Genomic DNA, 17,374 nt, shown 5'->3' on the forward strand with positions numbered 1-17,374 from the left:
GTAAAGAACTATATAAACGGAAGGTATTTATCATTACTGTCCCAGCCACTATGCTTGGAATGTTTAAGAATTCTTGGCATGATTTCTAAAAGTCCAGAGAAGGAGTTGTATTAAAGAAGTGGTTCTCAACTGGGGACAATTGTGTCCCTCTCCCTGCCCCCAGGAGGTATTTGGCAATGCCTGGAGACATTTTGGGTTGCAGTAAGTGAGGGGGTGCTGCAGGCATCTAGTTGAGAAAGACCAGGGATGCTGGTAAACATCATACAATGCACAGGACAGCCACACACAACAAAGAGCTGTCTGGCCCCAAATGCCAGTAGTGTGAAGGGCAAGAAGCCCTGTGTTACAGAAGCTCACAGGGGATGAGTATGGACCCCCTCTTTGTGGGGCATGGAGATGAACCGCTAACTTCCTTGGACAAATTGCCCAGTGCATCCTATCTTAACAGGATCCCAAAACCTGCTCTTAATCGTTCCATAATTCCTCTTGTCTTCAAGTTCCCATATGATCTTTTAAATGTCTGTTATCAACATGACCAGCTTATGATGTTGGTAACTAACCTATCTATATCAGAAATTTTGAAACAATTCCAATTTATTCAAGACAGAAAAAATAAACTCTAAAGTTAATGAAGTCAACCTATAACTGGATATAGGAGGACAGACTGTATATTACATTTAAAAAAAAAACACCAAAAGAATTGAATCTTAATTAATTAGAACAGTGAGTGTATATGAGTAGTGTGAATACCAACAAAATTAAAAATATTTCTTGTCAATTGAAAATTAATGGATTTAAATAATTACTAAAAACTCATGCAGTTGAAAACAGCCTGGAATATTTCAGCCCTTGAGAAAAATCTCTTTATTTGCATATATGTTTTTTGTTCTAAAGATATTTCTGATCAAGGATTGCTATTGTACTAAAAAAGATGGATACAGTTTTGTGTGTTTGTTTTTAAGCCCTAGCTAAGTTATGACTCCTAACAAAATACTCAAGGAAAAACAGAAATAATAAGAACTTTAAAGCATCACAAAGTGCTGCATATAAAGAGGATCATTTATAAAAAGAAATCTTAAAAATAGACTTTTATTTGAAAAGAGAAAATGTAATAAAAGACACTATATAATTCAATACCAGATGATGGTTACAGTCTCAGAACAATTCCTTTCTCCTCTCTGGGTCTCTGTCTCCTCACCTTAAAATAAGAAGATTGGATTAATGGCTGCTCTCTCAAAGACCTCTCCCAGTTCTCTGAATTAATGATTCTATACACTATTTCTTAATGAATCACTTCCAAAGATAAGAAGGTGGACTTGTAGACAAATCTCTTGAATAGTTGCCTTTGTAGGCCAATAGGCCTCAGTTCTAACAGGACATTGGAACAAACTGGGGAGCTTTAAAAAAATAAAAGTGATAAGGGGACACTACACACACAACAGTCTCTGACTTAATTGGTATAGGACAGGATCCAAGCATGGTTATTTTAAACGCTCTCCAGAGGAGAGCATTCTTATGTGCAGCCAATGTTAAGATCCCCAGATTGAGAATAAAAGTTAAAACAAAAGAAGCTAGTGCTCAGGTAGGTAAGATAAATGGGCAAAGCAGACTGGGCATAAGGAACTAGAGAACACATGTCCCATCTATTTCCCTCCAACTAGTGGCAGGAATGAGCCTGGTCTTTTTATTTTTATGTTTTTCAATAAATGCCAGAAATCAAAATTCTAAGTGAAATTCTGATATTTAAGAGTTGGCAACTAATTTCAAATAATTTTAAAAGAAAGCGTAAGTCACATAAAATATGCCCACAAGCTTAATTTGGCTCTCTAGCCACCAGTTTGCAACCTAAACAAAACCGGTTCAATAAATTAAACACAGTGTTTTCTCTGTGCTCTGACCTGTCTGTCTCCTGCTCAGAGCCTCTTTCTCCTATACCTTGGTCCATAGCCTATCCCTTTCTTTTTCCTTTCCATTGTCGCTTTCTTTTCCAACCTTCGCCATTCCTAAGAGATGGAAACTGAGATCTACACATTAAATCTTCATGTGGCTCTGGCTGTATCACTGGACAGGCGTCTATGCCTGGGAAAATTCAGGTTATAAACTGTAACCTGAGGCTGTGGCTCCATGATGTCAACAAATGGTTGGTTTAGTAAAATCAGGGGGAAAAGTCAGTCAAGCTCATAATTTCACACTACTAAGACTAAGACTTTGTCAAGCAACATATGGAGGTCCTCATTTAATTTCTGATGTTTGTTTTGTTTTCCTTGCTTTAAATCTAAACCAATGCATATCAAAATCACCCCTGATATTTTCTAAGCTCCCATATTTGGGCTCCATCCCAGGCCAACTAAATCTGAATCTCTGGAGTTGAAGTCTTGGCACTGACAGCTTTTAAAACACCCTAGATGAGTCTAATGTGAAGTCTGCTCTGAGACTCACTAATCTAAAACCATCACCTGACCCTGAAGATTAGCAGCATGCTTAATGCCAGATGACTATCATCTTGAATAGTTTTTTTAAACTTGTTCAAGGACTTTCTCAGCTCTGCTCTCATTGTATCTTCACAACTCTGAGGTACGCAGCACTGATACTATTATTAGCATTGGACAGATGAGAAAATGAGGCATAAAAATGTGAAATGAGTTGCTCAAGGGTACCCAGCTAGTTATTGCCAAAGACACATTGTAACCTCACTTGAAACAGAGTTACTTACTAATAGTAGAGGAATTCAGTGATTGGGAAGGTAACATGGTTAGGGGAACTCCTCTGTTATTAGTAAGGTTATCACTAGAAAACAAATATGTGATCAATTTTCAGAAATAAGTACAACAATATTTTTAAATTTAAAATCTTATTTTAAATCTAGGGTCAGTGTCTTTTTTTAGGTTATTGAAGTTAATCTTTTAATTTTACTTAAAATTTTTTTATTTCAATAGATTTTGGGGTATCAGTGATTTTTGGTGGTTATATAAATGAATTGAAAGTGATGAAATCTGAGACTTTAGTGCACTTGTCATCTGAGTAGTACACATTGTACCCAATCTGTAGCTTTTTATCTGGCATCCTCCCTTCCAACCTCTGGCTTCTGAGTCTCCACAGTCCATTATATTACTCTGTGTGCCTTTGCATACAAGATGTCTTTTTCGAAGTCTGTCACACATTCTTCAAAGTACTTCTGTGCACATACTTCTCCTACCTCCTCACCACCTTTCATAGATGTATATTCTCCCAGAGACTAAAAAGATCCAGGTAGTTTCCATCAAGATATATTTTCAGAAAAGTATTTTTAAAAGATTACATAGTCACAGAATTTCAGAGGTAAAGGGAACTTTACTGATCAACTTTCTCTCCCTCCTCTGGTAGATATGTTTAATTCAATACATATGGAATGCTAACACTATACCAAATACTTCACATTCATTATCTTCATTAAATCTTTACCATCACTCAGTAAAGTGGGTACCACCAACACTACCACCAGCATCATCATTCCCATTTAGCAAAAGAAAAAACTGAGGCTTAGAGATGCCAAACACCTTGCCCAAGATTCCTGGGTGAGTAAGCTGAGGCCTGATATTTATATTTGACTCAGAGCCTAAGCCCCTATTCACCACCTTCCATCACCTGGAGTAACAACAGTCCAAAATGTGAAGGATAAACAAATACTTATGAAAATGCCAGTGAGGTGATCAGTGAACACTTCTCCCAAGAGGTGGAAAAGTGGCATCAGGGATAGGCCATCACAAGTACACAGGATTTCAGTAGGCATTCTGGACTGGAATCCAATCCACACAGATATTGAAGCAGAAAAGTGATAGGGAGGGAATAGGGTGAACTGTGAGAAAGAAAATATCAAGAGAAAAAATTGGAAAGAGATGAGAAGGCAGATTGTGAAGGGTCCTAAGTGTATGGCTAAGGAATTTAGACTGTATTTGTGTGCAATGGAAACCCTCAGAGGTTTTTAAAAGCAAGGTCCTTTAACAAAATGTGAACTGAATTTTAGAAATATAAACCTCATGAAAGAATGGAGATTTAATTAGGGGAGCATAACTTGATATGGAGGAGAGACCAACAGGAAAGCTGTTCCACCTCAGTAACTGGCTGTTTCACTCTTAACCATATGTTGTGCTTGCATTTTTCTCCACCGCCCACTCCCACTGCCCCTAGGTTGTTCAAGGCACCTCTATATCTGTTTCATATGTCTCCAAGTCTAGGTAAGGTGACAGGGACCTGAACTTGGGCAGTGGAAATGGAGACAAGAGGACAAGTGTGAGGGGTATTTTCAAGGGCCTGGTCACTGCTCAAAGTGGGAAGGGCAGTACGAGAAGGAGAAGCAGAGAAGAAAAAGACTCTCATTTTCAAACTTAGGAGAAGGGGAACAGATGAGATATAGAACGGAAGGGATGGCCAATAATATCACAAAGAGATGAACAAGATGGCCTGATCAAGGTCTCAAGGTCTCGATCCAACAAGTATTTATTAAGCAGGTACTATGTGCTGGACATTAGAGGAACAATGAGTAAAATCGGTTTTTGTCCACAAGCATCACCCAGAGTAAAGAAAAGAGTAGCAATAGTCAGATATCAGAAACATGGTGCTCCTTTCATTAAATGGCCTTAATTCATGAAGCATCATAAAAAATATACATAAACAACATACATATAGGTTTAAAGCTCCAAAACACCTTTAAAATCTATTCATCTATCTGTTCAATTATATTACAGTCAAAGAAGAGTGCAATAAGTACTTGCTGTTCCTTCTTCCTGTTCCTTCCGCTGGCCTTCTTCCCTCAATTATGGAAATAGCTGATCCCTTTTCATCATTCGGGTCTGAGGACAAATGTTATACCCTCACACCGCCCCTCCCGGTGAGTCACTCTATTTCAAGCATCCTCCCCCATCACATGATCCTGTTTTATTTCTTCATTGCACTAAGAATACCTGAAATGTATATGCCTACATTTATATAGTCTATTTCCCCCTGAGAACGGAAGCTTCATAGAAGGTGAAACAAATCTTGTTAGTTGCTGCCAGTCGCACAGTAAGCCCTCTGTAGAAAATGTTTATTGGCCACATTTTTTTAAAAAGCGAATAAACCTCAAGATTAAGACCTCAAACCAAACTATTCCAGTTTCCAATTGCTTACAGCGACATACTGAGAAATCGAGTGACTCTCAAGAGAAAGGCCATTTTGAGGCTGGGGTCGAACCAAAATCCAGGGGGTCCACACCAGGTCAGTACCCCGGAATTGGCTGTTTTGCAAGATTTCGGGAGTACCAAATTGGCATGAGACATTTGACAACGAGGCCAGCCATGCACCGAGCTCAGGTTTTATTTCCGTTGTCCTTCTGACGTCAGAAAAAGCACGAGTTGCTGCACAGTTTCTTTTATCAAGGTGACAAATTACACCCTCGCTGGGCCCTGCATTCTGCAAACCATAAATTTATTTTCCTCCTCCCCCTTATATTGAAAAATGTAAAAACCCACTGCAGAGAGGTCAAAACCCCTTCCAAACGCAAATAAATACCGTTTTCTAGCAGAGGCGTCTTTTTTCACTTTTGCTACACACATCACCGCGGATTCGTCCGAGAAAGTACGTGATCCTGGCGGCAGTTAGGTTTCTAACAGAGAACGAGGGTTTGTACAAACCCCGGGTCCGCGCCGCAGAGCAAGACAAAGGACTCTGAATTGTAGCACCACCTTCCCCAGCCCAAGGCAGCCTGTGAAAGGCACTGGGAGCGGCGTGACGCGGGTACCGCGAAATTCCTTTTGCTGCCATATGCACTTGTGCCTTCTCTAACTACAGTTCAGCACAAACCTCAGGCGGGCGATTTGGCAGGCAAACGGTGCCCAGGCAGCCGGGTAACCTACTGGGTCCCAGTGGGTGCTGGGGAGCCCCATGCGCCAGGAGGTGGATAATTTAGGGGGCAAGGGGCTCGCACAAGGGCGAAGATGCGCTCTCCTCCCGGCACCGACCCACGCGTTTAAAGGCCTCTGCGGCAACGTTTAGGGACGCGAACTAGGTGCCGGGGGTTGGGGAGGAGGTGGGACTGGAAGCGAGAGCAGTCTGCGCCCAAGACCGCGCAAGAGGTGGCCTTTTGTTCGCTGGCTCCAGCACATCCCGGCTCTCGAAAAAACACTACCTCTGTCCCCTGCCACCCTCTGCATTTTAGAAAATCCTCTTCAGGGCAGGAAAGGACAGTGAGTCACTGCAAGCATCCTTTAGTAATTTCTCCCCGCGCCCTCCTACTTCCCCGCGTTACAGAGGGGCAGAGCACCAGGAAGGACGGCAAACATGCCCCGGTTTAGTGGTGGTCCGCGGCCGCTACCCAGCCGGCCGCACGCAGCACCCCCCGGACATCACACGATCTCCTCTGGGCCTTGCGGACACAGGAAATTTTCACCAAAGGCCGGGGATTCAAACACTCCCAGAACACGGTCGCGCCCTCGGGTCAGCTGCGCTCTCCCTCCAGACGTGCGTGGTTCCTGGCTCTCGTAAAAATGGAACCAGATCTGGTACCACACTCTGCCACAGCCACAGGAAAACACACCAAAGTCACAGGAAAACAAACCAAAAAGTAAGCCACAGCCCACGCAAAGGTGAACTCGGGGGCCCTGGCGCTTCCTCCCGCTGCCGCGTGCGTTCGGGAAGCACAGGAGACCTGGACTTTTCCTCTCCTAAAAGCAACATCCGAAAGCATCGGGCACAGCCGAGCTCTCTCTGCTTTCACGCCCGCAGAGATGATTTCTACGTTACCTCCTCCTCCGACATCTAAATCTCCCCTTGCCGCTCGCCCAGCCCTCCCCGGGAACGGATAATCACCTTACCTCCGGAAATAAAGGGAAAGGTGGCAAAAGGCGATGTGGAGGTGTCCGCCCTTCCGGGGTTTTTACCCTCGGCAGTTTGATGTCCTTTGTGTCAAGGTCTGGCTGCGGAGGCCGGGAAAATGTGGCCCCCGTCAGTAAGGGTTGGGCAGGGAGCTTGGCGTGGCCTGGCGGATTTCGGAGGAAGGTGAAGGGCGGAGGCTCCTGGCGACCTTCTGGCGGAGTGGCGTGGCCGCCCCAGTCCGCGCTCGCCTGGCTCTCCTCCTTTCCGGGCCGATTGCATCAGAATCTCCCCTCACCACCAACCCCCACTCACACTCTGCTCGCCGGCCTCGCACTTACATCGACATGCACCGGCGCTGAGGGTCACGAATCGGAGTCATTCTCCTACTGGGGGACGCGTGGCCCTTCCGCAACCATGGCTTGTGATGGTTTAACGCGGACAGGCCATTCCTCCCCGTCCCGCGCGCGGTCTCCTCCCCTCCTGTGCGCCCGCTCTTTAACCAAAGCTGCGTGTCAGTGAGCCGTGCCGGTCACATGGTGTCACTGCTGGCGGCCGCACCTTGCTGCCTCCCTCTTGCAGCTCTCTGACGATGCAGCGACCGCGGCTGGCGGAGATTGAGCAACGGGGAAAGGGTGAGGGAGGGGTTGCGGGGCGCGCGTGTGCCCGGCGCACTGAAGCTGGCACCGGGAGCAGAGGCTGCGCGCCGCCCTGGCACCTGCCCCTCTCCCTCCCGGGGCCCGGCGGCGTGTTCGGAACCCAGCTGCGGCTGCAGCTGGAGAATGAGAGCCCTTAGGGATGGGGGTGGGGCGGCTAAAGGGGCACCGGCGGAGGACAGGAGGGCTGTGCGTTCCGCTGGGGCCTGCATTTTGGGTACGCCAGAGCCCCGCCGGGGCCGAAGGAGCGAGGGAGTTGCATTGTGGGAAGGGCGCAGCATGAGGATGGCCGCGGGAGTGGCAGGTCCGAGCGCAGCCCGGAGAGCCGCGGGCAGCGCCTGGGACTACGGGCAGCGTTGGAGCGGAGGGCTGGCCCTGGGCACAGCCTGCAGATGGCCCGGGTTGGCGGGAAGGGGACCGAAGTGGCAGGGGCGGCGGGGAGCTCGGGCACCTTTAAAAACCCTTTGTCCCTAACCTGAAGCGGGAGGCACCTCCCCTCTTCCGGATCCAGCACCCGCAGACCTGGTCAGCCCTTCCTGAGATCTGCCCTGTGGAGCTCTGCTTTGGGGACTGGGTGTGAGGTGAACCAGAAGGATTTGCTGAGCACCGAGAAAGCACCGGCCTAGGCGCAAAGAGCCGGGGGCCAGCTCTTGGAGGGCCTGGAGACCCCACGTGGTCCCGACCGAAGGACCTGGTGCGTCCAGGTTAACGGAGCTGGGGCGCTCCAAGTCCGGGGGACGAGGGAGCGGCATGGAGGGGAGCAGGGGCAACTGGGCCTGGTTCCCTTTTTTCCCGCTTACTCTTTGTTTCAGACACAGCCCCCTTTCACTGGCTGGGCACTTGCTTGCAGAGGAGTTGTGTCTTAAAATGGCGACAGGAAATCCCACCTGCGCCTCAGCCAATTAGACTGTCATAGCGCGAATTTGCAGGGTGGAAACGCGAGCTTTTTATTGATAGGGAAGGTTCAGTCTCCTGTTCATGGTTCATCAAAACAGGAAAGGGAAGGTGAATCATAATTCAAAAATTAACTACCTGGAGCGTTTCAAGTAGACAGTAGTCATTGTATTTGGGTGAATTTTGCTTTTTCATCACCACTGGAAAAGCAAGATGATAACCAAATTTGAAACTCATCACGGACTAAACTTCTTATTCCCTTCGAATGGCAGTAAATGGCCTTTATTAGTTCAACAGTGGCTTCCTGAGAATCCTATTTAGAAGGCATGCTCTTGAGAAATACTGAAAAACAGAAAGTTCAGAGCAAACCAAAAGGGCAAACACATGGGCAGCCTAGCTCAGACAGACCTGCATTCAATTTCTTCCTCTGACACTTACTGCTTCCCTCATCTGCTTTACTTTTGTCCTAATCCTGTTTTCTAAATTTGTGAAAAAGGGGAGAAGAGTACACACAACATAGCAATATTCTATAGGTCATCAAAAAGTTGGTTCTTTCTACCTTACTAGAGGAAGCTAATTTATTGTGAAATTAATGATTTTAAGTAGTGTGCACCTTGCCTGGCACAAATAATTCTTATCAATAAGGTAAGAAATCTGAATAGGTAAAGTAGATGAACTGTGAGCCATAGCTTAATAGGCCTGTTGGAATATTTACCTTATTAAAGGCAGAATGTGTATTCATCGCTGTTTGGAGATTATCTGAACCAAGCTTGTCTTTTGGTTCCAATTTTAACTTACTTGCTAGTTTCTGTATATCAAAACGACTGCAGTTATTTAGCACTTTTTGAATTGGAATCAACAGTTATGAACTGAGCTCCTATGATATGGCAGCTATTGTGCTAAGGACTTTACATGTAAATATCTCATTTAAAGCTTTCAATCCCTCAGTTGGGTATTATCCTCTTTAAGAAAACAAGTACAAAGTTGAATTGGCCATGTTCACCTAAGACAGTAATTAGTGAAGGGGAAGCGATTCCCTTTCAGGTCTGAATTCAAAATCCGTGCTCAGTCTTCACAGTGGTGCTACAACCATTTGCAATCAGACATTCTTGGGCCTAGAGTTAGAAGGATCTTCACCCCTTCTCTGGATTTTAGTTGACAACCTAGAACCAGAGTAAACATCAACATGGAGGCTGCTGTTTTCTCAAATTGAGGCCAGGGATGTCTAGATGATTCCTCTATTCACTGTGTGCTTACTGAGAGACAAACAGCAGGTTAAACACTTCACAGATGGTCTCTCGTTTAATTCTCATGACATTCCTGATAGGGCAGCCTATCCTAATCCCTGACTCAAAGGTTAGGGAATTTATCCCAAGTCCACACAGCCCTAAGTGGCACATCCAAATCTTGCATCCAGAGCTGACTGGTAAGCCAGTTTTCTGTGGCTGGATCTAAAACGTTCCCTGATTCTGGAATAACCATCTTTGGAGGGTTAGTGGGTGGAAGGGGTCTCGGGCCACTCTGTCTCTGAATAGGAACCACTGCCCTATTTCAGTAGAGTCCAGGGAGTTAGTTTTCTCAGTAATAGGGTTGTGAGGTCCAAGAGACTTGTCGATAGTATCTAATGTTATTTGTGGACCTTTCCCATTTGAACAGATTTCCAATGTTATTAAGGTATTCAGGACACATTACCAGGTTTGACTGCAGACTGCCCTATGGAACTGAGAAAATTCTGTATCTGCTCTGAAAGTGATGCCAGGGAAGGAATTTGTACTATGAAAATAGAATTGGGTAGCTTTAGGTCACCTGAGAGTTTTCTTGTAGCCCCCATAGCTTGTTTTTGTATGGTTCCAGGAAGGTGGGGCAGCTTTGTGAAGAAAAATCAATTATACCCCAAAGAGGATTCAGCCTGAGCTTAAGCCACATCTGCTCTCATCCCAGCTTCACCCTGTACTCACCCGGGTTGCACTTGCTCCCTACCTGGGTTGCCCAGTAGGACAGCTGCAGAAGGGGCCACTACCAGCTGTGCGCTTACAGAGAATATGTGTTTTCCTGCACTGGTGTTCAAAGCTTTCCAAATACATCTGGTTTGATACCAGCAGTCTTCTTGTATAAGAATTTTTGGGTAATAAGATCAAAACTATTTTCTGAATACAGTGTTTTTTAAAAATCTGTGAAGGACTATCAGTGGAAAATCTGATTTTTAACGATGATGAAAAAGTAGGAAAGTCAGCTGGTGAGATTATCTCAGAACAAGTGTCCTGCATATCTCCTACTTGTAACAGAAAACACTGCAGCTGTTAGATGAACAAATCCAATCTCACTAGAAAATAAATTGTTTATTCTGCAGTCTTTTGTTCCTATTTATAGGGTCTACCCTAAACAACAAATGGTCTTTAAGATTACTGGTTTTCCTTGACTTTCACATTTCTTTGCCTGATTAACCCTTTTTATCATCCTTGATGTTCTTTGAATCTCATCCATAGATGACAATATTTTGACACTAGAAATTAGTAAAGCAGCCATAGGAAAAAGCGCATTTGCAATTAAAAGAGCTCCCAAATTGTGTTGGTCAGCCTTCTGCAGATACATGGCACTGTGTGCCCTAACATTCCTTGGTGGGTAGCACTGTGTCAGGGGCAGTTGTTGCCTCTTCCACCATTGAAATGAACATTCTACCTCACCAGATTGAAAATTGGTTCTTGCAAGAGGTCAAATACCCCCACTGATTCTAAACTGAAGTTAAATTAAAATCCCAGAACAAAACTATCTTTTATTATCTTATTAGTTAATTAATTTTAGAGACAAGGTCTCATTCTGTTGCCCAGGTTGGAGTGCAGTGGTTCAATCATAATAGCTCGCTGCAGCCTCAAATGGAATCAGGGATCTTCCCGCCTCAGCTTTCTGAGTAGCTGGGACTACAGGTGCGTGCCACTATGCCTGGTTATTCTTTATTATTATTATTGTAGAAACAGATTCTCATTTTGTTGTCTAGTCTGGTCTCAACCTCTTGGCCTCAAGCCACGCTCCTGCCTCGGCCTCCCAAAAATACTAGGATTACAGGCCTGAACCACCATACCTGACCCGAGATGCTTTAAAAATGTCTGCTGTCTCTGATTTTGGCCTGAGTCATATTTGTAAGGTCACTTATTTATTTTTTATCTGTTAGGGGAGCTGGGAGTGGAGTTTATTAGGAATTGCAACTGTATGGCAATACTGTGACATTTGTTCAAGTTAACTAAAGACCCAGGACCAAATAATCAGTCCTGGAAGTTTAATGTCTAACTTGTCTGATATGCAACATTCTGCAGGTCAACTGTGAGTGCAACTCCCTAGCTTGTTGCAAAATGGGGGAAATGATATGGACATAGTTTGGACGTGTGTCCCCACACAAATCTCATATCGAAATGTAACTCCTAATGTTGGAGTAGGGCCTGGTGGGAGGTGACTGGATCATGGGGGCAGATTTCTGATGTATGGGTTAGCACCATCCCCTTGTGTGCTTTCCTCATGATAGTGAGTGAGTTCTCTGGAGATCTGGTTGTTCTCACTCTCTGGCTCCTGCTTTCACCATGTGAAGTGCCTGCTCCTGCTTTGGCTTCTGCTACGAGTAAAAGCTCCCTGAGGCCTCCCCAGAAGCAGATGCTCCCATGTTTCCTGTACAGCCTGCCGATCTGTGAGTCAATTAAACCTCTTTTCTTTACAAATCACCCAGTCTCAGGTGTTTCTGAGACTGGGTGATTTATAAAGCAATGCAAGAATGGACTAATACAGATATCCATCTGGTGATCAGATGACTCAATGCCTACAGAATACCTAAGCACAATGCTTGGTATATAATAAGTGTCCAATAAATGGTACCTGTTATTATTTTGCACACTTTGCAGAAATAAAAATGGGGCAATTAAGTTTCAAAGTCCAAGTTTATAGGCACAAAATATTCTATTATGTTCACTTCATGCTGAAACAGCTGTTAAGCCCACACCTCCACTCCCATTTCTCCTACAGTGGGAATGAGGAGAGAGAAGGTATTAAAGAAGAGTTAGGCCTCCAATTCAACTCTCAATCTTAACTTTAAGGTGGGAAAGATAAGTTTTGAACCTATAAGAATGTGTTAATTAAGAAGTAGAAGTGGGCCGGGCGCGGTGGCTCATCCCCGTAATCCCAGCACTTTGGGAGGCTGAGGCGGGCGGATCACCCGAAGTCTGGAGTTTGAGACCAGCCTGACCAACATGGAGAAACCCTGTCTCTACTAAAAAAATACAAAATTAGCTGGATGTAGTGGTGCATGCCTGTAATCCCAGCTACTCAGGAGGCTGAGGCAGGAGAATTGATTGAGCCCAGGAGGCAGAGGTTGCGATGAGCCAAGATCACGCCATTGCACTCCAGCCTGGGCAACAAAAGTGAAACTCCATCCCAAAAAAAAAAAAAACAGTGGAAGTGTTCCAAAATGGAGAATAGCATTTGTATTTACTAATGGTGGCAATATAAATTGGTACCACTTTTTGTGAGGTAGCAAATTTAGGGGTTAAGAATGTGGGCTCTGGGGCCAAATTTGCTGAGTTCTAATCTTGGCTCTTACAGCCTGTTAGCTTTGTGACATTGGGCAAGTTACTTAACTTCTCTGTGCTTCAGTTTCTTCATATTTAAAATGGAAATAGACAATAATACCTACTTCATAAGGCTTTGTGAAATATATATGTTAATACATGTAAAGCATTAAAAATAATTAACAATATATCTTAAGTATTCAGTCATTAATAATTATTATTACTGGAAATCAGTTTGGCAATAAGTAGGAAGAACTTAGATACCATTGGTGTCACTTCTGGGACTCTATACCCTAAAAATTATGCACAAAGTAGTTTCCTAATAACACAGGATCTACAAGCACAGGCTTTGGAATGAGTCAAGTAAAGGTAAACAGCATGTTTAAAATGTTTCTCCAAAGCAAGTATAACATAAATCCATAAATTTACAGTCCAAATTAAATATGCATTTGAGTAGACTTGAGGGCAGCTGTAACACTTCCATAAGCCCTTAGAGATACTTTGAGAAATAGGATACAGGGCTGACTGTTCCTTAGTTCTGATCCTGTGTGATAATCCTTACTTTCTCATTTATAAGTGGACATCCAAAGGTGATACAGCTGGAAAAAGGATCTTCATCCAAGACAAAGAGAAACAAAGTCGATAGGAAAGTGATGAAAGGCATCAAGCAAAGTGAAGATGCAAATGAGAAAACAAGATCAGAAGACAGGAATATCTGAAACAAGTCACAAATGCATAGTATGACCTCTCAGGTAAGGACCAGGGCTGGATCATCCCAGGATGTTCAAGGCATACTCTCAGGGGGCGCTGTGTTATACTGAGATCTTGCTAGGCAAAAACATGGTTTTTGTCTTTTCTGTTGAAAAGGTACCTTTTGGGAGGCCAGGCGCGGTGGCTTACTCCTGTAATCCCAGCACTTTGGGAGGCTGAGGCGGGCGGATCACCTGAGGTAGGGAGTTCAAGACCAGCCTGACCAACATGGAGAAACCCCTTCTCTACTAAAAATACAAAATTAGCCAGGTGTGGTGGCACATGCCTGTAATGCCAGCTACTTGGGAGGCTGAGGCAGGAGAATCGTTTAAACTCAGGAGGTGGAGGTGGCGGTGAGCCGAGATCATGCCATTGCACTCCAGCTTGAGCAAAAAGAGCAAAATTCCGTCTCAAAAAAAAAAAAAAAAAAGAAAGAGAAAGAAAGAAAAAGAAAAGAAAAGGTACCTTTTGGGAAGAAGCATTAAAAAAATTTTTTTTTTCCGCTGGCAGTATTTAGGAAGAAGAATTCTATTTATTACTTCAGTAGAGTAACATGCTTTACTAAAATAAGCTTCCATTCTACATGGTTTTTTTTTTTTTTTTTTAGACAGAGTCTCACTCTGTTGCCCAGGCTGGAGTGCAGTGGTGCGATCTCGGCTCACTGCAACCTCTGCCTCCTGGGTTCGAGTGTTTCTCCTGCCTCAGCCTCCCGAGTAGCTGGGACTACAGGAGTACACCACCACACCCGGCTAATTTTTGTAATTTTAGTAGAGACGGGGATTTCACCATATTGGTCAGGCTGGTCTCGAACTCCTGACCTCAGGTGATCCACCTGCCTTGGCCTCCCAAAGTGCTGGGATTACAGGCATGAACCACTGCGCCTGGCCCATGATTGTTCTTAAAATAAGAAACACCACATAATATTCAGTGTTCCTTATTTTGAAGGGCTCTTTATTTGGTTATATTTTAGGCATATGAAGCTATTTCATAATCCCAAAAGGGGTATTTAATGAGATTTAGAATTGATAGTCTTCTGTTGATATATATTTATAGTTATTTATACACATATTTGTATGTTCTTAAAATAAAATGTTCAAAGTTTTTGATTCAAATGTAACATGTCTAAAATTGAAATCATTGTTTTTTTGTTTTTTTTTTTTCACAACTCAAACCCTCTTCTTTTCCCATAAACACCATATTGGGAAATGGCACCACCATGGGCATAGTTGCTCAAGCTAGAAGGATGGGGGTATTTTGGCTCATCCCCTTCACTCTTCACATCTAATTAATTCCCTCTTTTGAGTAACATTTACTAAGTGCCAGGCCTTCTGCTAGTCTTTCGTGAAGCTTGGAGTTAGAGTGAGAGACCGATATTACTCAAATGATCTTGCCAGTGAATGTACAAGTTACAGGTGGAGATAAGTGCTCTGCAGAAAGGAGCATGACTCTTGTGAGAGAAACAGAAGACCATGTTCTGAACTGGGAATCAAGGAAGACTTCCCTGAGGACGTGACCCTTGTTTGGACTCTATTCTGTTTATGCTAAGGATTTTAATAAGGAGCAGGTGATGGACATGATCCAGCGTACATTTTTAGAGGAATATCATGAGTCCTATCACTTCATCTCCTAAATATTTCTGACATCTGTTCTCTTTCCTCCATCCTCACGACCTTCACTGGCATGGGCCTCCAACAGCTCACTGTGGGGGAAGTTTCCCTCAAAGGGCACTGATAACACATCTTATTAAAACTATACCACATCATTATACCTCCCCAACATAATATGTACATGTATGTATTTGACAATAATATATATGTATTACTGTCCTATTTATTATATACATTAAAAACATTCACAAAAAATTAAAAATCCAAATGGTAAGATTTTACATTTTTGATTTGATAACAATACTTTATTATATTACTAAACATATATTCCTAATTGTCACTAAGATATTATCATGTTAGAGAAATTTGCTTCACTATACTATATCATTTTTTTAAATCTTAGTTTAATACTCTCTGATACAGCAATTCACAAGTCTACTTCCAACTCTGGCTTATTTTGATTCTTTCATGTAATGGCTGTCATAGCTGAAAAGGGACCTCACAGAGACCCAATGGAGGCAGTGTCCTATTGGCTATACTTCCCAAATCAAGCCATTCATTTCTCAATCCCATTCACTAATTTACAGAGATTTACTTATTTTTCATTGCTAGTCTGCAAATGTACACTTAAATGAAGGTCATCCTTAATAATTATGAATGTGAACCCATGAAACCTACTTCATAATTCTGAATTTGTTTTGACAGATTCTTTTCCACAGTTAGAGGGCCATTGCTATACCTGACATTGTGGCTGACAAAAGAGCTCTTATTAGGACTGGAAGTGTCAGTTCTACTTTTTCTTCTTTCTTTATGCTCATGTTATTATTATTTTTTAAATCTGAAGTTTAGAGGAATCTTTTAACTCTACTTGTCTATTTGGGAAGACACACTAAACTAGATAATATAATTTATAAATTCCCTCAACTAAGCACACAGAACTGTAATACATTGAAATCTGCCAAAGAGAACAAATCAGTGAGGGCACGACTGTATTCCTTTGTGTCTTTTTCAAGACACCTTGAGTACTGTAAGTGACAGGGAGCCATCTGATGTACAGGCTGAAGGGGGCCACCATCAACCTAGTAACCTAAACAGAAGTTCCAATATTTTCACCCTGCAGTCCACTTTGTAACCTTTTCTTAGCCTTCCACAAGAGTCTCCTAACTGGACTCCCTCCATCCACTTCTGGGCACCTAATGTCTCTACTACAGATTAGAAATTACTTTCACAGAAGGCCATTTCTGAAACCCAAACTAGCTTATGTGTTACCCTACATTGAAATTATTCAGACGCTGTCTTCCCCAGTAATCTGCAAGTTTCACAAAGGTAGATGCCATGTTCTTAATGGTTTCCCAGCACATAGCACATAACAGAAGCTCAATAAATATTTGTTGAATGAATAAATGAGTAAACAGAATATTTTTACAGTTAAATACCTTTAATTCTTTTATTTTTTTTAAATTTCAAGTCCTTAGAGGAGGAAGAATTGAAAAAATATGAAATATCAAATATACATTTAGCTAAATTTTTAAAGTTTAGTAGGCTATATGCATAAATCAAATGAATAGCAATATTTGGAACTGTAACTATTTTTGGAATCTTGTATGAATAAATTACAAGTTTAAAACATCAAGAGTAAGTGCCTATTGAATGTCATTTTTAAAGGAAAAAAGAAACCTCAGTCTGTATTTAAAAAGTAACATACCTCATTTAACAGTTTTCTAATTTATGCAAATTATCTGGAAAATTCAGAACCCCAATCACCTAAAGATTACCTTCCTTAAGAGTAAGTGTGGTTTTTGCTTCCAGAATCGTCTGGATAAGTGTCAGCATTCTCCAAGTCACTTTCTTGGTATGAAATGAACATTTGTGGCCAGGTGCAGTGGCTCACACCTGTAATCCCACCACTTCAGGAGGCCGAGGTGGGCGGATCATGAGGTCAAGAGATCGAGACCATCCTGGCCAACATGGTGAAACCCCGTCTCTGCTAAAAATGCAAAAATTAGCCAGGCGTGGTGACATGTGCCTGTAATCCCAGCTACTTGGGAGGCTGAGGCAGGAGAATCGCTTGAGCCTGGGAGGCAGAGGTTGC

At 43.1% G+C, this 17,374-nt stretch overlaps 1 protein-coding gene and 1 long non-coding RNA gene across 53 annotated transcripts in view, besides 7 other annotated features; one reads left to right on the forward strand and one right to left on the reverse strand.

The window, feature by feature from the left end:
- Positions 1-7,345, reverse strand: part of SLC38A1 (solute carrier family 38 member 1) — an 85,981-nt gene extending 78,636 nt beyond the window's left edge. For 17 of the 51 annotated variants that reach the window (NM_001278388.2, NM_030674.4, NM_001278387.2 and 14 more), the window contains exon 1: positions 6,828-7,345. The gene's annotated coding sequence lies outside the window, so the exon portion shown is untranslated. Of the gene's footprint in view, positions 1-4,747; positions 4,819-5,526; positions 6,290-6,756 lie in introns of those variants that run through there. The other 34 variants (NM_001077484.2, XM_047429588.1, XM_047429598.1 and 31 more) reach the window with 5 other exon arrangements.
- Positions 4,836-5,819: an enhancer, noted in NCBI's record as "H3K27ac hESC enhancer chr12:46660317-46661300 (GRCh37/hg19 assembly coordinates)". NCBI's record gives its function as "activates a minimal SCP1, AML or CMV promoter by ChIP-STARR-seq in primed H9 embryonic stem cells {active_cell/tissue: H9 hESC(primed)}" and the evidence as "EXISTENCE:reporter gene assay evidence [ECO:0000049][PMID:30033119]".
- Positions 6,745-6,804: an enhancer, noted in NCBI's record as "active region_6242". NCBI's record gives its function as "activates an Ori minimal core promoter by ATAC-STARR-seq in GM12878 lymphoblastoid cells {active_cell/tissue: GM12878}" and the evidence as "EXISTENCE:reporter gene assay evidence [ECO:0000049][PMID:35858748]".
- Positions 6,803-7,785: an enhancer, noted in NCBI's record as "NANOG-H3K27ac-H3K4me1 hESC enhancer chr12:46662284-46663266 (GRCh37/hg19 assembly coordinates)". NCBI's record gives its function as "activates a minimal SCP1, AML or CMV promoter by ChIP-STARR-seq in naive H9 embryonic stem cells {active_cell/tissue: H9 hESC(naive)}" and the evidence as "EXISTENCE:reporter gene assay evidence [ECO:0000049][PMID:30033119]".
- Positions 6,925-6,974: an enhancer, noted in NCBI's record as "active region_6243". NCBI's record gives its function as "activates an Ori minimal core promoter by ATAC-STARR-seq in GM12878 lymphoblastoid cells {active_cell/tissue: GM12878}" and the evidence as "EXISTENCE:reporter gene assay evidence [ECO:0000049][PMID:35858748]".
- Positions 7,025-7,124: an enhancer, noted in NCBI's record as "active region_6244". NCBI's record gives its function as "activates an Ori minimal core promoter by ATAC-STARR-seq in GM12878 lymphoblastoid cells {active_cell/tissue: GM12878}" and the evidence as "EXISTENCE:reporter gene assay evidence [ECO:0000049][PMID:35858748]".
- On the forward strand, positions 7,373-16,915 carry LOC105378248 (uncharacterized). 2 transcript variants are annotated; one of them, XR_001749101.1, is made up of 2 exons: positions 7,373-7,460; positions 13,503-16,915. It is a non-coding gene; the product is annotated as an uncharacterized LOC105378248 (long non-coding RNA). The 2 variants fall into 2 exon arrangements; XR_007063282.1 differs by having other exon boundaries at positions 7,413-7,460; positions 7,963-16,915.
- Positions 7,535-7,714: a silencer, noted in NCBI's record as "silent region_4382". NCBI's record gives its function as "represses an Ori minimal core promoter by ATAC-STARR-seq in GM12878 lymphoblastoid cells {active_cell/tissue: GM12878}" and the evidence as "EXISTENCE:reporter gene assay evidence [ECO:0000049][PMID:35858748]".
- Positions 7,795-7,894: a silencer, noted in NCBI's record as "silent region_4383". NCBI's record gives its function as "represses an Ori minimal core promoter by ATAC-STARR-seq in GM12878 lymphoblastoid cells {active_cell/tissue: GM12878}" and the evidence as "EXISTENCE:reporter gene assay evidence [ECO:0000049][PMID:35858748]".
- Positions 16,916-17,374: the final 459 nt, after the last annotated feature.

This window comes from Homo sapiens, chromosome 12 (assembly GCF_000001405.40).
Source record: "Homo sapiens chromosome 12, GRCh38.p14 Primary Assembly".
Taxonomy (NCBI): Eukaryota; Metazoa; Chordata; class Mammalia; order Primates; family Hominidae; genus Homo; species Homo sapiens.